The sequence below is a fragment of the Homo sapiens genome, chromosome 5 (genome assembly GCF_000001405.40).
Source record: "Homo sapiens chromosome 5, GRCh38.p14 Primary Assembly".
Classification (NCBI taxonomy): Eukaryota; Metazoa; Chordata; class Mammalia; order Primates; family Hominidae; genus Homo; species Homo sapiens.
This window is the reverse complement of record NC_000005.10, coordinates 45,009,409-45,032,439: the sequence shown is the minus strand read 5'-3', so window position 1 is coordinate 45,032,439 and position 23,031 is coordinate 45,009,409.

Genomic DNA, 23,031 nt, shown 5'->3' with positions numbered 1-23,031 from the left:
TTTGTCCTCTCTCTTCATAAGAGAAATGTTAAACTAATTAGGCTTATTTGATATGTTAAATTACATGGGAAGTATTGTCAAATACAGGTAATGTTTAGTCTTCTTAGGTTGCTATATATATATATATTATATATATACACCTTATATATATATATATATACACCTAATATATATATACCTAGTATATACCTATATATACCTAATATATACCTATATACCTAATATAATATATATTCTGTAATGTAGATGTTCCAATAAGTATATGAAATTTCTAGAAATCTGATATGTTCTAGTATGATAGTCCTATCTCTAGTTATCATCTCAAAATGTTGCATGTCACAAAAACAACCAAATTTCTTTGTCAATAGCATTATAATGAGCTCTCATCAGTTCTTCGATCGTGGTCATTTTAAGTCTTTTGTCATCCGCAGACAGTTATTTAACTTTGATGCTTTCATGAAACCTTTTACAAGCAGCTATGGTACAAAATTACAAAGATTTCATTAAAAAGACTGACAAGTACAGGTTTCTGATAACTTTAAGATTGTACTATTGAACTGGGTAAGGATTTCCAGAACTCAGTTGGAAAACTGATGGATTCATAAAACTGCTAAGTCAATATTGAACAAAATGATAATTAATTACATGGGGCTAAATTAACTGATGAGAATAATTATGTCTCTTATGACATTTCTTTAAAATATTGCTGGTTCTTTAATGTCTTATTTTTCAGATTTAAGGAATTCTTTTTCTTGGTTCTCTTAAGCTGTCTATGACTTACAGTGGTTTGACAAAATGTACTTCTGCAAACAAAAATATTTACATTTTTCTATCTACCTGATCACTGTGTAATTTAGAAACTCTCACTAACTATTCTTATTTTCATGGCAATATGAGTATTTGCATACGTTCCATAAGAATCTGTTGTCCTCATAATAGGATAAAATTGGACAAGTCCTTGGCTTGACTTTTAGTCCGGAGAGGTTTTAGAAGTTTTAACTTCAGATTCCTTATTACCAAATCATTTTAAAAAAACAAACAACCAACTAAGACTGACTTATACAAAGTCTGTAAGGCCCATTGGCTATTACCAAACCTACAACTTAAATGTCATACTTTAAAATATGCATAGAATCAGTATTGTTGCACTTATATAAATAATCAGGTCGAGTTCAATGAGCTTAAGCTTTTTTAAAAAGATAAGGCTTATTTTGGGTAAATTTGGTGATTATTTTTGGTAAAAAAAATGGGTGATTATAAAAAGGAGTGTATTTTAATAGAAAACTACAGCACACCCATTATAAAATTCTAGTCCTCTTTATTATCTTAGAGGTTTGTTATCCACTCACAAATTGGATTGCATCGTAAATTTTTCTAGTTTCAATAAAAACTAAAATTGCCCCTTTCCCAAGCCCGGCAAACTGAAATTAAATGACTGGATAGAAACATCAGAAAAGTTAAAACAGGTCACGTATGAACAATTTTCATGCCTTCTGCAATGTGGGTCACTCAAAGAGTTCATCAAAATTGCTGATGATATAATCAGAGATATTCAAACTGGCTCATCAGATTGCAACTGCCATCCTCATTCTGTCATCTAAAGATGCTGCAAACTCAAATTAGAAATCTTGACTAGCAACATTCTGAACTCAAAAACTAAGATCATAATGTGGCCCAACTATTAACTTGTTTTTCTTTTGTTTTCTATAGAATGAGGGCTTGAATTTTCCTCGCGCAATAAAATCTGAAATGAACAATTTAGCCTCAGCAGTACTCCAAAATATTAAACTTATGGATAACTTAACAACTTGACAAGGAGGAGCTTGTACTTATGCATATAAAAATGTTTCTATGTTAATAATCAGAAATTATTGCCCCAAATTTAAATTATCTTCAGAAACAAATGTAAGTCTTTCATCAGAGATGTGTTGCCTCCTTTATTAATGTATTTAGTCAGTTAAATCATGGCTCCCAGGAATTTCTGCTGTGAAGTCTTTTGAAATCCTTGACTATTATTCTCCTTACACTCATGGTATTCACTTTCCTACTGCACAGTATCCGCTCAAGAGTATTAAACGCTTTTCAGCAGCCACTCATGTCAAATGATTGCCATCAGGATTACATGACTTGAAGAACTCAACAACCTAAAGAACCCAATAACTGGACCACTCAAGCCACAATGACTATGCAACCTTGAAAAACAGAGATGAGGTGACCTTACATGGCAATGCAACTATTGATGATGATAACATTTCCTTGAATCTTTGTTCCAGTGACTACATAAATAATGGTAACTAAGAGTAATGCTACACTGTTTGGACACACTCTCGGTATGCTGAAAGAATGACCAAAAGAGGGGAATTTTTAAAGTAAATTAGAAAGAAGAGCTAGCCTGAAAAATCCCTGAGCAGAGAAAGCAAGTTAGGCCTCATAAGTGACCTAAATCTTGCTTGATTTGCCAACATAAGCAAAACTTAACTTTAGCTATTTCTTCTAAATGCCTATATCAAATAAAAAGAGAACTTAAGCTCAGCCAATTAGAAGGAGCCAAAAAAACCCGTGTAACTATTTAACTGGAAACTTCCTGACTAGATAGACCAAATATGGCAACTGTATAACTGTAACCAGTCAAATACAGGCATACCTGGGATTTATTGCAGGTTTAGTTCCATACGAATGCAATAAAATGAATATTGCTATATAGTGAGTCATACAAATTTTGTGGTCTCCCAATGCATGTAACAGTTATGTTTACACTGTGCTGTAATCTATTGTGAATAGCATTATGTGTAAAAAATTATAAATAACTTAGCTAAAAACCACTTTATTGCTGAAAAGATTCTAAGAATCATCTGAACCTTCAGCAAATTTGCCAATGGAGAGTCTTGCCTCGATGTTAATGGCTGCTGACTATTCAGGGTTGTGGTTGCTGAAGGTTGGGGTGGCTGTGGCAATTTCTTAAAATATGACAATAATGAAGTTCCTTTCATGAAAGAGTTTTCTGTAGCATGCTATGTTTGATAGTATTTTACCCACAATAGAATATCTTCCAAAATCAAAGTCAATCTTCTCAAACTCTCCCACTGTATTATCAACTAAGTTTATTTACTATTTTAAATCCTTTCTTGTTATTTCAGCAATGTTCACAAAATCTTCACCAGGAATCGATTCCGTCTAAAGGAACCTTTTTTTTTTTTTTGCTTATCCATAAGAAACAACTCATCCATTAAAGTTTTATCCTGAGATTGCAGTAAATTCAGTCACATCTTCAGGCTAGTTCTGGTTTTCTTAGTATTTCCTCCCCATCTTCAGTGACTTGAACTTTACAAAGCCATCCATAAGGGTTGAAATCAACTTCTTTTAAACTCCAATTAATGTTGATATTTTGACCTCTGAGGAGTCACAAATGTTCTTAATTGGATCTACAATGATGAATTTTTTTTCCAGAAGGTTTTCAATTTACTTTGCACAGATCAGAGGAATCTCTCTATATGAAAGCTATAACTTTATGAAATGTATTTCCCTCCCTCCCTCCCTCCCTTCCTTCCTTCCTTTGTGTTTTTTTAGAGATGGACAGAGAGGGAGACAAGGAGTGAAATGTATTTCTTAAATAATAAATCTTGAAATTCAAAGGTACTCATTGATCCATGGGCTGTAGAATAGATACTGTGTTAACAGGCATAAAAAAAACCACATTGATCTCCTTAAACATGTCCATTGAAGCTCTTGGGTGACCAGGTTCATGGTCAGCAAGCCTCAATATTTTGAAAGGAAATTTTTTTTCTGAACAGTAAGTCTCAACAGTGGGCTGAAAATATTCAGTAAACCTTGCTGTCATCCAAGCTTTGTGATTCTATTTATATTAGGTTGGTGCAAAAGTAATTACAGGTTTTGCCATTGCTTTTATGGCAAAACCTGTAATTACTTTTGCACCAATCAAATAGACCACAAACCAAATAGATTTTGCATAATTTTAAGGACCCTAGGATTTTTTGAGCACTGGCTTCAACTTCAAGTCACCAGCTACAGTAGCCCCTAATAGGAGAGTCAGCCTGACCTTTGAAGCTTGAAGCTTTGAAGCCAAGCATGGAGTTCTCTTCTCTAATTATGAAAGTCCTAGATGGCATTTTCTTCCAATAGAAGGATGTTTTATCTACATTGATAAAAATCTGTGGTTTATTATAGATACCCTCATTAATTATCTTAGTTAGATCTTCAGGATAACTTGTTGCAGCTTCTACATCAGCAATGACTGTTTCACTTTGCCCTTTTATGTTATAGAGACAGTTTGCTTCCTGAAACCTCATGAACCAATTTCTGCTAGCTTCCACAACTTTTCTTCTGCAGTTTTCTTACCTCTCTCAGCCTTCATAAAATCAAAGAGAGTTAGGGCTTTCTCTGGGTTAGGCTTTGGCTTAAGGGAATGTTTGTGACTGGTTTGATCTTCTATCCAGAGCACTCAAACTTTCTGTGTATCAGCAATAAGGCTGTTTCACTTTCTTATCATTTGTATGTTCACTGGAGTAGAACTTTTAGTCTCCTTCAAGAACTTTTCCATTGCACTCGCAAATTGGCTAACTGGTGCAAGAGGCTTAGCTTTTGACCTATCTTGGCTTTTAATGTGCCTTCTTTACAAAGCTTAATCATTTCTAGCTTTTGATGTAGAGTGGGAGATGTGCAACTCTTCCTTTTACTTGAACACTTAGAGGCCATTGTAGGGTTATCAGTTGACTTAATTCAATATTTTATGTCTCAGGGAATAGGGAGACCCGAGGAGAGGAAGAGAGATGAGTAAACATCTGGTTGGTGGAGCAGTCAGAACACATACAACATTTGTTAAGTTCGCTGTCTTACGTGGGCATGCTTCATGGTGTCCTAGAACAATTACAATAGTAATGTCAAAGATCACTGATCACAGATCGCCATAGCAGACAGAATAATGAAAAAAGTTTGAAATGTTACAATAATTACCAAAATGTAACACAGAGTCACAAAGTGAGAATATAATATTGGAAAAACGGTGCTGATAAGCTTGCTCGATGCAGGATTGCCACAAATGTTTAATTTGTATTAAAAAATGCAGTATCTGCAAAGCACAATAAAGAACAATTTAAAAAGGTATATATGTATTTTCTTTGTTTACTTCTGCATCTGTCCTATAAAAACCTCCCCTTCGTATTCCTTTGGTAGAGTTCCCAAACTCTTTCTGCTTTGGAGCTGCCTGTTTTAATAATTGTTGTTTGCTCATATAAAGTCAATAATTTTATTGTGCCACAATTTATCTTTTTACCATAGGTAACAGCTAAAAAAATAAATAAAAGTGGTGCCTAACAAATTTAATCAATGAAAATTTCAAATCTGGAAAGAGAAGAGTTACATAAAATATCTTAGGCTACATGATGTGGAATGATCTATATCAATGCTCTTCACACATTTGCACATTTGTAAGGCTTTGGAAATAATGTTATTTGCCCAAGTCCTTTACTGGTTGTTAGGTTTAAAACAATAAAAGTAGCTTAAGCAAGTAGCTTAAGCAGTTTGATATCAAATGTGACTAATCTGTGGTAGAAACTTCATATTTACACATAAAATGAGAGAAAACTTCTGTGCTCAGCATTAGCCATTGGGAAATTGTGTCTGCTTTAGAGTGGTTGTAGTGTTTTTTATTACCAGTTAACTCAACACTTTTCGTCAATTAGAAAGTGCTTAGTTATGATCTAAAATAGACTTCTTTCTCATTTATATTGGAACAATTTATCTCTAGTTAAGATTGGCAGACTCCATTTATATCAAATGCGTTCAGACTTATATAAAATGCATTCAGGACAATTTTTTTTTTTGAGAACGAATCTTGCTCTGTCGCCAGGCAGAAGTGCAGTGGCGTGATCTCGGCTCACTGCAACCTCCGCCTCCCAGGTTCAAGGGATTCACTTGCCTCAGCCTCTTAAGTACCTGGGACTACAGGCACACACCACCATGCCTGGCTAATTTTTTGTATTTTTAGTAGAGATGGGGTTTCATCATATTAGCCAGGATTGTCTGGATCTCCTGACCTGGTGATCCCCTCGCCTCGGCCTCCCAAAGTGCTGGGATTACAGGCATGAGCCATTGAGCCTGGCCTCAGGACAATTTTTGACTGGAAGTCTTTGTTGAAAGTCAATCCTATTAAAAATTAGTGAAATTCGATGCAAACACAAATATTTGAAAGCAAATAATATGCCATATTTGATTGATCCTAGATTTAAATAATCAATAGCTCTTCCTCAAGATATTTTGACTATGTAAATGTACCCTGTTGGACTATATTTATAGGAATTACTTCCCTTGTAATGAATTTCCCTATTTAGCTAATAAAATTTACAGTTCAAATTTTAGTAACTATAATACCTAAAGTCAATTAAAATGACATTTTATTTCAATCTAATTAAAAAATAAAAATTATGCCATAATTTGAACATTTGTAGATCAGCAATAAATACCTGAGGCATTGATTTAAAAATTTAGCAAAATCAAATTTAGAAATATATTGAAAATGGGAATGAGCATCTTAATTGCTATGGACAGAATGTTTATATGTCCCTAAAATGTATATGGTGAAATCCTAATTTCTAATGAGGTAGTTTTTGGAGGTAAATCCTTTGGGAAGTAATTAAGGTTACATTAGGTAGTTAAGGTGAAGCCCTATGATGGGATTAGTGCCCTTTTAAGAGATGAAAGACCAGAGTTCTCCATCCTCTGCAAATCAGAAAGACGGCCCACACCAGGAGCTGGCACCTTGATTTCAGACTTCCCGGTGTTCAGAACTGTGAGAAATTAATTTTTGTTGTTTGAGTCACTAATCCTATAACATTTATCTTATAGCAGCCCAAATTAAGATAATAGTATTGGTCTCTAAATTTTAAGGTTTTAATATTAGTGCTCACAATCACAATATTCATCATCTTTATAAACACTGGAAAGTGTTAAAGAGTTGAAGCCAATTTAATAGGCTTAGACATTTTTTATGAATAAACTCTAAGAGTGATTTGAATATTTTCTAAGTAGAATGTTTCTTCACCTCAGCATCTGCCCTTATTTTACATTTCTCAATACAACAGGAAGTGGATCCCATTTTGGAAACTGAGATAGTTAATGCTATGCACTCGTTACTCTGTTTTTTTTTTTATTCCTCTTGCATTTGTTATAGGAATGTTTTTTTCCAATTCACCAATCCCTGTAAAACTGAAAATATGTTGTTCTAAAAATGCTTGTTGGCAAATGTAGATGTGGCTCTCTACTCTTCAGTTCCAGGATCTTTTCTTCCTCTAGTTGTTGTGTCCTCATTCTACTTCCTCCTGGCTCAAGGCTTCCATGGAATCACTCTTCTGCATGTACCTTCCCTTTTCACAGCTTTTGCTCTATCTAGAAGGTCCCAACTCAGCCTATCAAGAGTCCCTGACTTCTGGTAATTCAAGCAAACATGATAAAACACCTCAAGCAGGTGTGATAATAATGCTAATAGGTACGTTAATATATGCATCTTAAACTTCTGGTGGTGGGAGGTAGTTCTATGAAAAACAATACTATCTCTGATGTTGGAATTTTCAAGTAAATTTATGTTATCCATACCTTTCAATGGTTATTACAATACACACACACACACACACACACACACACACACACACACAAAATATCCTTGCTTAAGCCAGCTACACACAGGACTATCAGTGAGGTACATTTTAGATTCCTACTACCCCAATGGGTCTAGGCTATTCATAAACGAAACCTTGCTTTTGCTCCACGTCTGTGGTCATTTTGCTCATATCTTCCCTCAGTCTCTACCCATCCTTCAGAGTTCAGCTCAAGTTGTACACGTTTCATGATTCCTAAAACCAACATAGAATACAGTAGATTTATCTTCCATGAAAGACAAAAATGCCAGTTGGGCAAAGGTGATATTGTGAAATGTCTGTTTGGTCTTTGTCCGTTTTCTGACATACAGCTCCTAAAATCCTTGTAATCTCCACAGTGATGAGTGTCTTTTGCATGCTAAGATGAGTGGCCATAAGAAAGATCAAGGCACGATTAGAAGGTTGGGAACTTAAGCCCCACTCCCAACCTCTAGGTAGGGTAGAGGTGCTGAAGGTAAAGTTGATCACCAGTGGCAATGATTTAACCAATCAAGTCTACATATTGAAGCTTCCATAAAAACCCAAAAGGACCGAATTCAGGGAGCTTCTGGATAGAGGAATACATGAAGGTTCCTGGGAGGTGGTGCATCAAAGGACATGGAAGCTTTGTACCCCTTTGCCTATACCTTCCCTTATTTCTCCCTTCATCTGGCTGTTCATCTCCTTTATAATAGGTCAGTAAACAAAAGTGAAGTGTTTCCCTGAGTTCTGTGAGTCACTCTATCAAATTAATCAAATTCAAGATAGGGGTCATGGGAACCTTGATTCATTGCCACCTGTACTTGTGGCTGGCATCTGAAGGGGAGGGCAGTCTTGTGGGTCTGAGCCCCCTGACTATGGAATCTAACACTATCTCCAGGTAGATGATGTCAGAACTGAGTTAAATTAGAGGACACTGGCTGGGCGTGGTGGCTCACGCCTGTAATCCCAGCACTTTGGGAAACTGAGGTGGGCAGATCACCTGAGATCGAAAGTTTGAGACCGGCTTGACCAACATGGAGAAACCCCATCTCTACTAAAAATACAAAATTAGCCAGGTGTGGTGGTGCATGCCTGTAATCCCAGCTACTGGGGAGACTGAGGAAGGAGAACTGGTTGAACCCAGGAGGCAGAGGTTGTGGTGAGCCGAGATCATGCCTTTGCACTCAAGCCTGGGCAACAAGAACAAAACTCCATCTAAAAAAAAAATTAGAGGACACAAGCTGGCATCTGCTGGAGAATTGTTTGGTTGGTGAATGGGAATAAAACTTCCACACACCTGGTACTGGAAGTGTTAAGTGACTGTGTAAGACAGGAGAACAGAAAAAAAAAAAGTGTTTTTGGCTTTTCCTATATCCTATAGAAAATACTGGGGTTTTAGCATATATTGTCTCAATTATAACCCTAGAACATGAGGGCCGGGTGTGGTGGCTCACACCTGTAATCCCAGCACTTTGGGAGGTGGAGGCGGGCGGATCACGAGGTCAGGAGACCGAGACTATCCTGGCTAACATGGTGAAACCCTGTGTCTACTAAAAATACAAAAAAATTAGCCAGGCGTGGTGGCAGGCGCCTGTGGTCCCAGCTACTTGGGAGGCTGAGGCAGGAGAATGGTGTGAATCCGGGAGGTGGAGCTTGCAGTGAGCCGAGATCACGCCACTGCACTCCAGCCTGGGCAACAGAGTGAGACTCCGTCTCAATAAAAAGAAAAGAAAATAACCCTAGAACATGAGTTATTGAGATTTTCTTTTCTATACCCTTTGAGATCATTCTTTCAAACTTCAGTGTAAGCTTCTGAAGGACAAGATCTAAATTGTATTATTTATTTTGTACCCCAGTAATGTTGTACAACCACCATTCACATTGAATTCACATTTGAATGTTGACTTCTAGAATGTAGAATGGTCAGTCTTGTGTTTCTAAGATATGGTGTGTCAGAACATGATTCTGCACCTGACTGTTCAATAAATGTTTTATTATTTCATTCTCACACTGCTATAAAGAAATATCTGAGGCTGGGCACAGTGGCTCATGCTTGTAATCCCAGCACTTTGGGAGGCCAAGGTGGGTGGATCACCTAAGGTCAGGAGTTCAAGACCAGCCTGACTGACATGACAAAACCACATCTCTACTCAAAATACAAAAATTAGCCAGATGTGATGGTGTGTGCCTGTAATCCCAGCTACGTGGGAGGCTGAGGCAGGAGAATCACTTGAACCCAGGAGGCAGAGGTTGCAGTGAGCCAAGATTGCGCCACTGCACTCCAGCCTGGGCAACAGAGTGAGACTTCATCTCAGAAAAAAAAAAGAAAGAAAGAAAAAAAGAAAAGAAAAGAAAAGAGAAAGGAAAAGAAAAAGAAAAGAAAAGAAGAGAAAAAAAGAAGAGAAAAGAAACATCTGACACTGGGTAATTTATATATATATATAAAAGATGTTTAAATGGTTCATGGGTCCACAAGCTATTCAGGAAGCATGGCAGTGTCTGCTTCTGGGGAGGCCTCAGGGAGCTTTTACTCATGACAGGAGGCAAAGCAGGAGCAGATGTCTTACAAGGCATAAGCAGCACCAAGAGAGAGCTAGGGGGAAGGTGCTGCACGCTTTTAAACAACCAGATCTTGCAAGAACAGCACCAGGAGATGGTGTTAAACCACTCGTGAAGGACCACCCCCATGATCCAGTCACCTGCCATTTGGCCCTACCTCCAATCAACATGAGATTTGGTGGAGACACAGATGCAAACCATATCAATGTATACCAAATAATTTTAGCTTAATTTATAGAGTTACTTTATGTATTTATTTACACTTTGGGGGCAGAGAAAGGATCTCATTCTGTCACTCAGGCTGGAGTGCAGTGGCCTGATGTCAGGTCACTGCAGCCACAAATTCCCAGGCTCCAGTGATCCTCCCACCTCAGCTTCCCGAGTAGCTGAGACTACAGTGTGTGCCACTGTGCCCAGCTAATTTTTGCATTTTTGGTAGAGATGGGGTTTCACCATATTGCCCAGGCTGGCCTTGAACTCCTGAGCTCAAGCAATCTACCTGCCTCATCCTCTCAAAGTGCTGGGATTATAGGCATGAGCCACCATGCCTCGCTGAGTCTACTTTAAAACCAATGGAAATTCAGATAACAAGTGTGAGAAAACATTAAATACCATTAGAAATTAGTCCCTATTTGCTTCACAAAAAGTAGTATATAAAAATAAACAATAAAACCTCTTTTTAAAAATCTGTTAAACTTTCTGTAAAAATAACCATCTCATCAACCGAGAATTATATGACCTAAACAGGAACTCCTATTAACAAGCCACTATGTCTGAAGGAATCTTATGTTTTCTCCATCCAAATACACAGAATTAGCAGTATTAATTGAATAAGCACGGGTTATGGAGATTTGATAACAGGTAGGGTGAAAGCATGGGTAAAAGTAATGTAGCATTTCAAAAATTTGTAGGCTCCTAAAGTAAAAGAAAAAAAGTTTACTTGGCACTTAAAAATCATTTATGTAAAATATTAACCAATATTTTGGCTAGTATATTTGAAATAAAACTGTCTTTCTTTGCAAAATATCTAAACCAGTGCTTCTCAATTAAGGGATTTTGCCACTTCAGGGAGCATTTGGCAGTATCTGAGAGAAATTGGTTTGTCACAACTGTGTTAATTGTAGGGGTCCTACTGGCATCCAGTGGGTAGAGGTCAGGGATGCTGCTAAACATCCCACAATCACAGGACAGGCCCCAACAACAAAGAATTATCTGGCCCCAGACGTCAACACTGCTGATATTGGGAAACCCTTCTCTAAATTCATCCAAGAAAATATTTTATAGACTTGAACATCTTTCTTTTTCATAGTTACCAGAAAAGTGGTTCATCTGTGGGACTAGTGGGGGAAAATTGTGACGTCCACTTCTATCTAAAAGAGTGAAAGGTAAAACAGGGTCTAGAAAGCAAAATGAAAAATAAACAGGAGTCATATCTATGGAAAGTTTCTATTCATAGAAGATTTTAGCGCTCTGAGAGCATAATAAGTGTCTTGATGAACAGCAATATCTGCTCACCACACTGGCTCTCTCGCCAGCTTAGAGCCTATATGCCTCTTACTACCAGCGTAAGCCTTTTAAATCTGTTCAAAACCTTTTTGATGGCCTTACATCACACTTCAAAGACAATTCAAAGATTTTACCATGACATGCACAGCCCTTAAGTATCTGTTCTCTGGTTAGGTCTCTGTTCCCAGATCCTACTACTCTTTCTCTCTCTATTGTGTTTCAGTCCCACTGTCCTATTTTCTGTTCCCATAAACACACAACAGGCAGGCTTCCTTCTTGGGGCTTTCCCTCTGCCTGGAGCATTCTTCCACAAGCGTTCTTGAAGTTTCTTCCTTCCCTATATATTATTATTCAGGTTTCTGTCCCAATGTCACCTGCAGAGGTAAAGGAGTAGCTCCTACCACCACTTGATATTCACTTCTTATGTTGTATTTCTTTTTTGTTTGCTGATTTTTAAATTTATTATTATTATTATTACTATTATTATTTTGAGATGGAGTCTTGCTCTGTCGCCCAGGCTGGAGTGCAATGGTGTGATCTCGGCTTACTGCAACCTCCGCCTCCCGGGTTCAAGCGGTTCTCCCACGGCAGCCTACCGAGTAGATGGGATTACAGACACCCATCATCATGCCCAGCTAATTTTTGTATTTCTTGTATTTCTGTAGAGAGCGATTTTCACAATGTTGGCCAGGTTGGTCTTGAACTCATGACCTCAGGTGATCCGCCCACCTGGGCCTCCCAAAATGCTGGGATTACAGGCGTGAGCCATGGTGCCTGGCCATTTTTTTTTTTTAATTTTATTTTAAGTTCCAGGATACATGTGCAGGACTTGCACTTTGTTACATAGGTAAACATGTGCCATCGCGGTTTGCTGCACCTATCAACCCATCACCTAGGTATTAAGCCCAGCATGCATTAGTTATTTATCTTGATGCTCTCTCTCCCCCCGCCCCCATCGACAGGCCCCAGTGTGTGTTGTTCCGCTCCCTGTGTCCATGCATTCTCATTGTTCAGCTCCCACAAATAAGTGTGAACATGCGGTGTTTGGTTTTCTGTTCCTGTGTTAGTTTGCTGAGGATTTCTTTCATAGAACTTTTCATTGACATTTTTATCATTATTTGTTTACTTTCTGTCTCACCCCACTGTCACTACCCCAAATGAGTGGGATATTTGTTTAAACCTTTGTATCTTCAGCCATAAGAATAGTGCCTAGAAAAATGGCCATCTCTTTATACATATTTCTTAAATTAAGCAATATATAAATGAATAAACATTTAAGATGTTCTAACTAGAATACTAAAACAGTTTTTCTTTTGCTTTGACATTCTTATTGTTTATCTTTTTTGTCCACAATCGAGAAAAGATTAGACCTAACTTTGCAGGATCAAGCCTCTACAGTAGGACAATCAATGCTTGGTAAAAAAGTTCTAGTGTTCCAGCCAAGGCTGCTAAAATGTATAAGCAAATCCCCCAATTATTTTCTTTGTGGACAGGGGCTCCATTTCATATGCAATGTGTATGCTGAAAGCAGATATTACTTCAGTGAGATTCTAGTGCATAGAATAAAGGTGCATAGAGGTAAAAATGAATAAAAGAGATACACAATAAAAGATAGAAAATATAGCAACAAATACTAAGCAATGTGCTAGATTGATAGGGCAATTAGATTTTGGATTAATTAAATATGTGTTCATATGTTTTCTGTGTTAGGTTGGATTTCCCAAAAGCAGATCCTGGGATGTGCTTTTGTCTACAAGTGTCCCCAGTAGCGACCAGTGATCAGTGAGGGTTTAAGCAAACCAGGAACCAATGGAGACCAGTGACCAGTGAGGGATTAAGTGAAGCAGGAAGGGAAGAGGAAGAAACCAAAGCAGTGCTATCCCAAGCAATGTCCCAGTCTTTCCCTGATGCCTCCCGGAGATCAGAGGCAAGAACTAGTTCAAGGAAGCTGTGCTTTTATCCTCCTCCTCCTCCTGAACGGGGATGTCGTTGGCTACAGACCGCACAAGGGATAAAAACCCCCAGGCATCTGCAGGGCTTGGTGCCTGGGCAAAGCAGCTTTACTGGGAGTCAGTAGGAATTAAACAGAGCAGCTCTGCTCCTCATATCTCTCATCCTCCTCCGACCAGCAGGCTGGCCTGGGCACGTGTTCTCATTTAAAAGTCAGAAGTTCAAGAGAGCAAGTTCCATGAGATGCCATTTTAGACATGGGGTTGAACTTGGCACAGTGTCACATGTGCTTACATTTCACCAGCTAATGCCAGTAACATGCCTAAGTTCAAGATCAAGGGAAGTCCACTGTGCACATGATGAAGCCATGACAATGGTGGGCTTGCAGGAAGGGCTGAAGAACTAGAGCCAATAATGAAATCTACTATACATCCCTATTTTTCAAATCTGAAAACTCTACTGCTACAGGCATTAATTTACATCACGAAATGCCTTCTTAATTTATAAAGTTAATAAAATCTTTAAAAATCTTTATTTATTTATTTATATATTTATTTGAGACGCAGTCTTGCTCTGTCACCAGGCTGGAGTGCAATGGTGTGATCTTGGCTGACTGCAACTTCTGCCTCCTGGGTTCAAGCTATTCTGCTGCCTCAGCCTCCGGAGTAGCTGAGACTACAGGCGCATGCCACCATACCCGGCTAATTTTTGTATTTTTAGTAGAGATGGGGTTTCACCATGTTGGCCAAGATGGTCTCAATCTCTTGACCTCGTGATCCGCCTGCCTCAACCTCCCAAAGTGCTGTGATTACAGGTGTGAGCCACCACGCCCAGCTTGTACAAAATCTTTAATGGCAAACTTACAATTATTTGTCTATTTTAAATGATATTATTTTTGTCACAGTCATCCTACAAGTACACACCCACGCATGTGTTGCTTATTATATAGTAATGTGCTGGTTAATGACAGGGATATGTTCTGAGAAATGAGTCATTAGGTAGCATTTTTGTCGTGCAAATATCACAGAATGTATTTCACAAGCCTCAATGGGATAGCCTGCTACATACCTAGGCTATATGGTATATCCCATTGCTATTGGGCTACACACCTGTCCAGCATATTGCTATACTGAATACCGGAAGCAAATCTAACATAAGAGTATTTGTGTATTTAAACATATCTAAACCTATAAAAGGTACAGTAAAAATACAGTATGTAGGGCACTTACCATGAATAAAGCTTGTAGGACTGGACGTTGCTCTGGGTGAGTCAGTGAGTGAGTGGTGAGTGAATGTGAAAGCCCAGGACATTACTGTACACTACTGTAGACTTTATAAATACTGTACATTTAGGCTACACTAAGTTGATAAAAAAATTTATTCAGTAATAAATTAACCTTAGAATACTATAACTTTTTAACTTTACAAACTTTTAAAAAAATTTTGGCTCTTTTGTAGCAACACAGTTTAAAACACACGTTGCACAGCTGTATAAAAATATTTTTTCTTGATATCCTTATTCTGTAAACTTTTTTCTATTTTTAGGTTTTTTTGTTTCTATTTTTACTTTTTAAACTGTTTTGCTAAAAACTGAGACCAAAACACACAATAACATAGACTTACACAGGTTCAGAATCATCAATATCACTGTCTTCCACCTCCATATTTTGTACCACTGGAAGGTCTTCAGGGGCAATAACACATATGGAGCTATCATCTCCTGTGATAACAAGTCCTTCTTTTGGAATACCTCCTGAAGGATCTGCCTAAGGCTGATTTAAAGTTAACTTTTTCTTTAATAAGTAGAAAGAGTACACTTTAAAATAACAATCATGTGTTTAGTATAGTAAATACATAAACCAGTAACCATCATTTATTATCAAGTATTATAGAGTACACATAATTGCATGTGCTATACTTTTATATGACTGGCAGAGTGGTAGGTTTCTTTACACCATCACCATAAACATGAGTAATGTGTCTTGCACTGAGATGCTAGTTATGATGGCTCTGATGACAATGACGACACTGGATGACATAATTTTTTAGCTGTGTTATAATCTTATGAGACCACTGTGTTATATGCGGTCCATCATTGACCAAAACTTTGTAATGTAGCCCACAACTGCAGTAATTTTCAATTGTATTAAAAAAAAACCTTACTAAAACTCTCAAAATTATAATTACTTTAGTTTATAGATGAATCACAAAATGCTAAACTGAAAATATTTCTAGTTCTGGTAAGATTTATGTACAACAGTAGCTTGTACTAAATATGTCAGTCAGCATTTTGCCTGATAAGTGATAGTGAGAGGTGAAGCCAGCTGGACTTCCTAGGTCTAGTCGGGATTGTAAATGCACCAATCAGTGCTCTGTGTCTAGCTAAAGGTTTGTAAATGCACCAATCAGCACTCTGTAAAAACGCACCAATCAGCTCTCTGTGTGTAGCTAAAGGTTTGTAAACACAGCAATCAGCACTCTGTAAAAAACGCACCAATCAGCTCTCTGTGTCTAGCTAAAGGTTTGTAAATGCACCAATCAGCACTCTGTAAAAACGCACCAATCAGCATTCTGTAAAACAGACCAATAAGCCCTCTGTAAAATGCACCAATCAGCAGGACATGGGCAGAGCCAAATAAGGGAATAAAAGGTGGCCACCTGAGCCAGCAGCGCAACCTGCCCAGATCCACTTCCAGGCTGTGGAAACTTTGTTCTTTCGCTCTTCACGATAAATCTTGCTGCTGCTCACTCTTTGGGTCTGTACTACCTTTATGAGCTGTAACACTCACTGTGAAGGTCTGCGGCTTTACTCCTGAAGTCAGCAAGACCACGAACCCACTGGGAGAAACAAACAACTCCGGATGTGCCACCTTTAAGAGCTGTGACACTCACTGCGAAGGTCTGTGGCTTCACTCCTGAAGTCAGAGAGACCACGAACCCACTGGAAGGAAGAACCTCCAGACACATCTGAACATCTGAAGTCACAAACTCTGGACACACCATCTTTAAGAGCTGTAACACTCATTGTGAGGGTCCGCGGCTTCATTCTTGAAGTCATTGATTCATGTTGATGCTTTTCACAATTCTATCTGGGGTTTTGATGCAAAATATAATTTCTTTAGGTCAGGATTGACCTTGTCCTTGACCCCAACATGGAAGCTTATTCTTCATTATTACCTTTTATTAATCAATCATTTCCTCTCAAGCTATACACAAGCCCCATGAGGCACTTATCAAGGATTTTTTTGTGTCTGAGGAGAGCTTTAAATTTGTGGATCTGCTAAACATTTCAGCTCGCTTTTTAATATCTTGAAAACCTGGCATCAGATCAAACACAGGCAATAAAGAGAAGCCACCTTGAGGGGGAAAATAAAAAGAATTCTGATTTCTCTTTAATTAATCCAATACACATATTTAGTTGCTTGGAAGAAGGCAGATTACTGAGATCACTTAAATAACAATACTTTGTTTTAGTCTGATGCTAGGAAGAAATTCTCAAAGTTTACCAGTCTTGTCACTAGCATGGGTTGAGTCATTTTTGTAATTGAAGTTTTTTTGACTTATAGACATAATGCTAAATTAAGTCTTTTTGAGTCCTATTGTGTCCAGAATTTATTCCTTCAGGTGGGTTCTTGGTCTCAATGACTTCCACATGAACCTGAAAATAAACACTACAGAGAGATGACTTAGAACATCTTAGATGGCCATCGTCATATGAAAGTAAAACAACATATACATTAAAATAACAACCCCCTGTATTTTGTAAGTGTGATTTTTAAAAGGTGAAATAAGGCAATCTTCAAAATCATTGGTAATGCTGAAAAATGGGAACAATTACTTGTTTTTTTTTGGTGTGCTTGTTTTGTTTTGTTTTGTTTTGTTTTTTTACAGAGTCTTGCTCTGTTGCCCAGGCTGGAGTGCAGTGGCACAATCTCAGCTCACTACAAGGTCTGCCTCCTGGGTTCACACCATTCTCCTGCCTCAGCCTCCCGAGCTGCTGGGACTACGGGCACATGTCACCACACCTGGCTAATTTTTTGTATATTTTTAGTAAAGATGGGGTTTCACCGTGTTAGCCAGGATGGTCTCAATCTCCTGACTTCGTGATCCTCCCGCCTTGGCCTCCCAAAGTGCTGGGATTACAAGCGTGAGCCTCTGTACCCAGGCAACAATTGCTAATTTTTAATGGAGAATTTTTGTACCATCATATTAGAGTTAATAGGGAGCTGATACCCAATATCATGCTGCAGTCTTAGAAGAGTAACTTCTCTCTGCCTCTGACTCTATTTTTTTTCTACAGTGGATATTTGTTATGTATGTTTTTTGGATTGTAAGGCTTGCGAGATATCACCAATAAAATTAACAAAGGTTGTACCTGCAGAGAGCTGGCAAGAGTGGTATTACCAGGGTCTGTATTCATCAGACTTAGTCAAATCATGTAGGGGATTAGAAATATTCACCCCAGCTAAGCAAGATGGCTCACGCCTGTAATGCCAGCACTTTAGGAGGCTGAAGCGGGCAGATCACTCGAGGTCAGGAGTTTGAGACCAGCCCGTCCCACATGGTGATACTCCATCTCTATTAAAAATACAAAAATTAGCTGGAAATTGCTTGAACCTGGGAGGCGGAGGTTGCAGTGAGCCAAGATCATGCCACTGCACTCCAGCCTGACAACAGAGTGAGCCTCCGTCTCAAAAAAACAAAAACAAAAAAAAGAAAGAAAGAAAAACAGAAATATTCACCCTGGTCTCTCCGTTCTTTTTAAATAATGTAAATAATACCTATATGTATTTTAGTTGTTAAAATTTCTAAAAGAACGTAGAGTTAAAAAGATCCTACTTTAGCACAGAGAAACTATTAGATAAAATTAAATATAATCATTCATAATTTTAAAAGAAGAAATTCTTCACAAAATAAGAATTAAAGGAAACTGTTTAACCTAATAGAGGTAATTTATCAAAAACCCATAACAATCATCACTCATAGTGGTGAAAACTTAAGATGCTTTCCATCAATGCTCACTCACTGATTATTTTCAGAATTATACTGGAAGTTCTAAATATTCCAGTAAAAATAAAAAGCATTATAATAATATAGAAAAAATAAGGGTTTTTTGTTGTTGTGTTTTCCATATGATATGATTGTCTAGACTACCACATACAGCTAACCAGGTTGTGAATTTTCCAAACCTCAGGAGCACAATTCAATGTGAAATCTGTATTAGTTTTCTAGGACTACTTTAACAAATTACCACAGACTTCGGGGCTTAAACAACAGAAACTTATTTTCTCACAGTTTTGGAGCCATGATGCCTGAAATCATGAAGTCAGTGGGATTGTTTTCTTCCGAGGCTTCTTTCCTTGTCTTGTCCGTGGCTATCTTCTCTCTGAGTCATCACATGATCTTCCTTCTGCCTGTGTCTTCATCCTATTCTCCTCTTTGTACATGGGCACTAATTCAAAGTTATATTAGATTAGTACTCACCCTAATGACTTCAGTTTTACTTAACACTTTAAAGATTTTATCTCCAAATACCATCACATTTGGAAGTACTGGGTTTAGGACTTCCACATATAAATTTTTTGGGGACAAAATTCAGCACATGACAAATCCCAAAAGAGTATATAGACAAATTATCAGTATTAACTAAAGTTTAACCAAGTTACTGGATATGTTTTTAAATGCCAATTACAGTAATGAGAAAAACAAATATTACCTGGGAGTCAATATGACAAATTATTTATATGGCCACAATGTAGAAAATTGAGAAGGGTTAATTTGTCCAAAACTGATGCTCTGGGGAGGCTCCTGTAAAACTGTATGAAAAACCAACTACACTAACTTCTTCAGGCAATTACTTTGATAGAGGATAGACATTAGAGATCAGATCACTTGTCCTCCACACAGGGGAAAATTAAAAGTATAGACCCCAGTTCCCTGATCTCATCAGGGAAGAGAGTGATGCTCTACCAACCATGAATGCTTAAACAACAGAACAGGGTGAATGTCAGGTTTCTCATGTCATGTCACTGGAGAAAAACCTGAATCACATGAGGAGAATGGCTTCCCTAGTCAAGCAAACTTAACCATCTCAGTCAAAGTCCAAGGTTCCCCTTCCATATCTGGCACAATTATATCCTATCTTCTGGTGCAGAGCAGGATTCAATGGAGGGCCTACAATCCTAGCATGGCTCCAAGCTCATGAGTTTTTCCCAATGAAAGCGGCATCAAAAGCCTAGTATCTGTGTTCAACAAAAATCTAAAACTCAAAAGAACTTAGTAACTGGAGACATAGACAATGTTTACAAATACACTCAATATTGTGGGACTATCAATTATCTCCAAATTAATCTACAAATACAATGTAACTTCAACAAAAATCTGAGCATGGTTATTTGAAGTACTTGATACTGATTTATATTGGAGAGCAAAGGGTCAATAACAGTCAATAGAATATTGAAAAAGAATAAGGAAGGGTAAATGTAATGCTGTACAAAGTATCAAAATCTATTTTAAGAATATTTATTTGCACTTGTGGGAATAAAAATGATTAAAATTGGAAACATCTTTTTATCAAAAACACTATGATGAAAATATAAATCAAGTAATCAAATGGGAACCTATCTCTTTTGCTAGCTGTAATTTATTCTTAACACATCAGCCAGAATGCCTCTGTAAAACTCAAGTCATAACAGGTCTCTGCTCAAAACCTTCTAATGGCTTCCTGCTTCACTCCAAGGGAAGCCAAAAGTCTTACCCCATCATACATGTTGCTTCATAACCTGGTCTCTCTGTATGTTTCTGACCAAAATTATTACCTTCTTTTTCTCACTTTGCTTCATGTACTCGCTTGCTCTTCCTCAAACACACAAAGTGCAGAGAGGCTATTGCCCTCTATTTTACTCTTAGCTAAATTACTCTTCTTCCACATATTGACATTGCTCAACTCCTTATTTTCTTTAAGTTTCTACTCTAATGCCTTCTATTCAGGAACGTCTCTTTTTTGAGATGGAGTCTCACTCTGTCGCCCAGGCTGGTGTGCAGTGGCTGATCTCAGCTTACTGCAAGCTCCTCCTCCCGAGTTCACGCCATTCTCCTGCCTCAGCCTCCCGAGTAGCTGGGATTACAGGAGCCTGCCACCATGCCCGGGTAATTTTTTTGTATTTTTAGTAGAGATGGGGCTTCACTGTGTTAGCCAGGATGGTCTCGATCTCCTGACCTCGTGATCTGCCCACCTTGGCCTCCCAAAGTGCTGGGATTACGGGTGTAATCCGCGCCCAGCCAGGAAGGCCTTTATAGAAATATATCTGTCTTCTGCTCTTTGGTAATTTTTTTTACTTATATATATTTAAGGTTTAAAACTTGATGATTTAATATATATATGCATGGTGAAAGGATTACTACTACCAAACTAATTAACATATCATCACCCTACATAATTACCATTTTATGTGAGTAGTGAAGACATTTAAGATCTGTTCTGTTAGTATTCAATACACTATTACCAATTATAGTCACCATCAAGTACATTAGATATTCAGAACTTATTTACCTTACATAACTGAAACTCTGTACCCTTTGATCGTCACCTCCCCCATTTTCAACTCCCCTCAGCCACCGTTAACCATCATTCTACTCTGCTTCTATGAATTTGACTATTTTAGATTCTACAAACGAGTGAGATTATGCAGTATTTGTTGTTCTGTATCTGATTTACTTCACTTAGCATAATGTTCCCAAGGTCCATCAGTGTTTTTGCAAATGGCATAATTTTATTATTTTCTAAAGCTGGATAATATTCCATCATGTATGTATATGTATGTGTATATACATATCTGTATATGTATATACCATGTTTTCTAATATATTCATCTATCAATAGACATTTAGGTTGTTTGTTTGTCCTTAGATTATTTTTATATCCCTTTGACTTCTTCAACCTATTGGTTGTTCAGGAGAGTGTTGCTTAATTTTCACATATTTGTGAATTTTTCCTTTTTTTTTTTTTCCTGTTATTGTGTTTTAGTTTCATACCATTGTGGTCAGAAAATACAGTTGATATAACTTCAATCTTCTTAAATTTTTAAGACTGATTTTGTGGTCTAATGTGTGATCTTTCCTGGAAAATGTTTTGTGTGCTCTTGAGAAGAATATTCATGCTGCTACAGTTGGATGGAATGTTCTATATATGTCTGAGATTCACTTGGTCTATACTGTTGTTCAAGTCTGTTTCTTCTTTATCGATTGTCTGTATGAATGATCTATCCATTGTTGAAAGTGAGTTGTTAAAGTCTTCCACTACTTCTATACTGCTATGTTGATTCAATTCTGTTTTCATGTTTTAATTTAGGAGTTCCAATGTTGGGTGCACATATATTTACAATTGCTAGACCTCTTGATAAATTGACCCATTTATTACTGTCTAATAACCTTATTGTCTCTTGTGGCAGTTTTAAGTTGAAGAACATTAATAAAACTCACTGCTGCCTATTTTTTTCTCTCTTACACTAATCACCTGTATCCTGCTTCCCAGAGAGAGAACCACTTTCCTGGCTAGGTTAAGATAGTGAGAGGTGAAGCCAGCTGGGCTTCTGGGTCTGGTGGGGACTTGGAGAACTTTTCTGTCTAGCTAGAGGATTGTAAATGCACCACTCAGCGCTCTGTGTCTAGCTCTGGGTCTAACCAGATAAACACCAACCATGCTCTTATGTGACTTATGCCATAGAGAAAATAGAAGCAAAATAAATACAAGCATAGCTCAGTGATGTGAAAGTTTTGTCCCATACCATCACAATAAAGTGAATATTGCAATAAAGTGAGTCACATGAATTTCTTGGTTTCACAGTACATATAAAAGTTATGTTTACACTATACTGCAGTCTAATTTTGAGATTACTATTTCCTAGCTTTCAAAAAGGAATTTGCATAATGCTGTATATAGTCTTCCAAAAGGTGCATTTATCAGTCAACTTTTAGTAAGATTTATGCACTTTGTTGTCCATGGTGCTAGTATGATGCTATTTAAAAATGTGTTTCTTTTTTTAATTTTTGTTTTAAGTTCAGAGGTACATGTGGAGTATGTGCAGGTTTGTTACATAGGTAAAAGTGTGTCATGGGGGTTTGCTGTACAGATTATTTCATCATCCAGATATTAAGCCTAGTATCCATTAGTTATTTTTCCTGCTCCTCTCCTTCCTCCCACCCTCCACTCTCAGGTAGGCCCCAGTGTGTGTTGTGCCTCTCTATGTGTCCATGTGTTCTCATCTTGTAGCTCCCATTTAAAAGAGAGAACATGCAGGATACAGGTGATTAGTGTAACAGAGAAAAAAATAGGCAGCAGTAAGTTTTACTAATGTTCTTCAACTTAAAATTGCCACAAGAGACA